This window comes from Homo sapiens, chromosome 16 (genome assembly GCF_000001405.40).
Source record: "Homo sapiens chromosome 16, GRCh38.p14 Primary Assembly".
In the NCBI taxonomy this organism is placed as follows: Eukaryota; Metazoa; Chordata; class Mammalia; order Primates; family Hominidae; genus Homo; species Homo sapiens.
In genome coordinates this window covers 70,087,285-70,089,909 of record NC_000016.10, presented here as the reverse complement: position 1 = coordinate 70,089,909, position 2,625 = coordinate 70,087,285, and the positions used below count along the sequence as shown (strand labels likewise).

The following is a 2,625-nucleotide window of genomic DNA, read 5'->3' as shown; positions in this document are numbered from 1 at the left end:
GAATTATCAACTTTGATATGGCATCCTTTTATATTCTTTCTTTGCCCTGTCACATGATTTGGAACAGCTGAACAAAGGTACAAATTTGTCAAATCAGTAGCTACTATAGCCAAATGCAAAGAAAACTAGACTAGGCCGGGCGCGGTGGCTCACGCCTGTAATTCCAGCACTTTGGGAGGCCGAGGCGGGCGGATCACCCTGAGGTCAGGAGTTCCAAGACCAGCGTGGCCAACATGGTGAAACCCCATCTCTACTAAAAATACAAAAAAATTAGCTGGGCATGGTAGCAGGTACCTGTAATCCCAGCTACTTTGGGAGGCTGAGGCAGGAGAATCGCTTGAACCCAGAAGGCGGAAGTTGCAGTGAGCCGAGATTGCATCATTGCACTCCAGCCTGGGTGACAAAAGCGAAACTCTGTCAAAAAAAAAAAAGGGAAGGGAAGGAGGGAAGGAGGGAGGGAGGAAGGGAAGAAGGGAAGGAAGGAAGGACGGAAGGAAGGAAGGAAAGAAGGAAGGAAGGAAGGAAAAACTAGACTAAAAGAAAAAATTTCCAGACATCTGACAATACCATTAATGTTTACAACCAGTAAATCTGGAATGATTCTGTCAATGCAGCTCATACCACCAATCCAACTATGTTACTTCTATAATTTTGAAAACAAAATACAAATGAGGGATGTAAGATTACATGATGCAAAAAAGTCCTGAAATTAAATATAATTTCTCACACCCCAGACCCGAGTACCTGCACATGCCACAACTCTTCCATACTGACCCGTGGTGAGTGCATTGTTTACTTGAACTGGCCTAAGCAAGAGCAAATAGGGCTGAGCTGCCAGAATGTGCTGAACTCTTTCTGTATAACCCAGTGCAAATTACTGGTGCTTCTGAAGAGTACAGCTTGGATTCAGGAAGTGGACTTCCATCTGAATTAAGACAGCACACTTCACTGCACAATTCTGAAAGACGCGTAGCTCAAAGAAAGAGACCAGGCTAAATTGGGAAAAAAATTTAATATATTTTAAAAACAGAATCAGGCCAGGCTCAGTGGCACATGCCTGCAGTCTCAGCTACTTGGGAGGCTGAGGTGGACAGCTTTCTTGAGACCAGGAGTTGGAGGCAGTATTGTGTTATGTTAGAGCCTGTGAATAGCTACTGCACTCCAGCCTGGACAACACAGTGAGAACTTACCTCCAAAAAAACAGACAAAAAACTGAAATCTTCTGGGTTTGCAAATGTTAGTAATGTGCATAAAAATCTGATAAAATCCTCAAAAAGTCCCTACATTTCTTCTTGCTTAGATAACATCATTCTACAGTTGGTAGAAAAAAGGTATACATCAATAATTACCACTATATCAAACTATATTATAGTTTGGGAAATACTGATAAACTAATGTAAATATTAACAAAGATGCAATCTAAAAATTACCCATAATCTCCAAATCACATCTGTGCCTTTTAAAGTGCTCATTTTCTGTTATGAAATTAACTGATTTTGAAAACAAAGTACAAAGTACAAAAGACCGGGAGAATCCTGCTGATGGTACTCCACCTGAGCCAGTGATCACCACACGACCTGAACAAATTCTAATTCCCTGTGCTTCAGTGAGAATAGGGGGGAGATGGGATAAAAAGCAAGACAGCTTGACTCCAGTTGATTGCAAATCTAATATGATTCCAGAAAAACAGATGACTACCTTTCCAAGGAAGGGAAAATATTGTTATAGAAATGGCTTGTAGAAGTGAAAGGAGATGGGCAGAACAGATGCAGATCCTTTTAGAATTACTGTTTTAAAACATCTCATAGGTATGTCAATGGTTGAAAATGTATTACCTCCCTAATAAGGAATGTTCATCTCCATTAATGGAAAAACAAAGACGACTCCTAAGTATTTCTAAGCATTCATTACTACACAATCTATAGGTTTGGCTATGCAGCATAAATTTTGGAAAGAGATCTGGGAACAAATTTGGGCTCTTCCAGGTACTAGCTGCAAGATCTTGGAAAAATTATTTAACACGTATTTGTTTTGTTTTGTTTTGTTGTTTTGAGACAGAGTTTCACTCTTGTTGCCCAGGCTGGACTGCAATGGCACAATCTCGGCTCACCACAACCTCCGCCTCCCAGGTTCACGCGATTCTCCTGCTTCAGGCATGCGCCACCACGCCTGGCTAATTTTGTTTTTTGTTGTTGTTTGGTTGGTTGGTTTTTTGAAATGGAGTCTCACTGTGTCGCCCAGGCTGGAGTGCAATAGCTTGATCACGGCTCACTGCAACCTCTGCCTCCCAGGTTTAAGCGACCCTCTTGCCTTACTTAGTCTTACGATTACAGGCACGTGCCACCACGCCCAGCTAATTTTTGTACTTTATAGTAGAGACAGGGTTTCGACATTTGGGCCAGGATGGTCTCAATCTCTTGAACTTGTGACCCTCCCACCTCGGCCTCCCAAAGTGCAGGGATTACAGGTGTGAGCCACAGCGCCCGGCCATTATTTAACATTTGTAAGCCTAAGTGGAGCAAAATACTTAAAGCACCTAGCACAATGCTAGTAGTAAGTATGTAATAAATATAATCTATAATTGTAATAATAATTATTGCATACTTCTAGAAGAGTGTTAATTCT

At 41.5% G+C, this 2,625-nt stretch overlaps 1 annotated feature.

The window, feature by feature from the left end:
- Window positions 2,404–2,625: a silencer, noted in NCBI's record as "fragment chr16:70121188-70121409 (GRCh37/hg19 assembly coordinates)". NCBI's record gives its function as "represses an EF-1alpha promoter that drives an FKBP-Casp9 reporter gene in an ReSE screen in K562 erythroleukemia cells {active_cell/tissue: K562}" and the evidence as "EXISTENCE:reporter gene assay evidence [ECO:0000049][PMID:32094911]".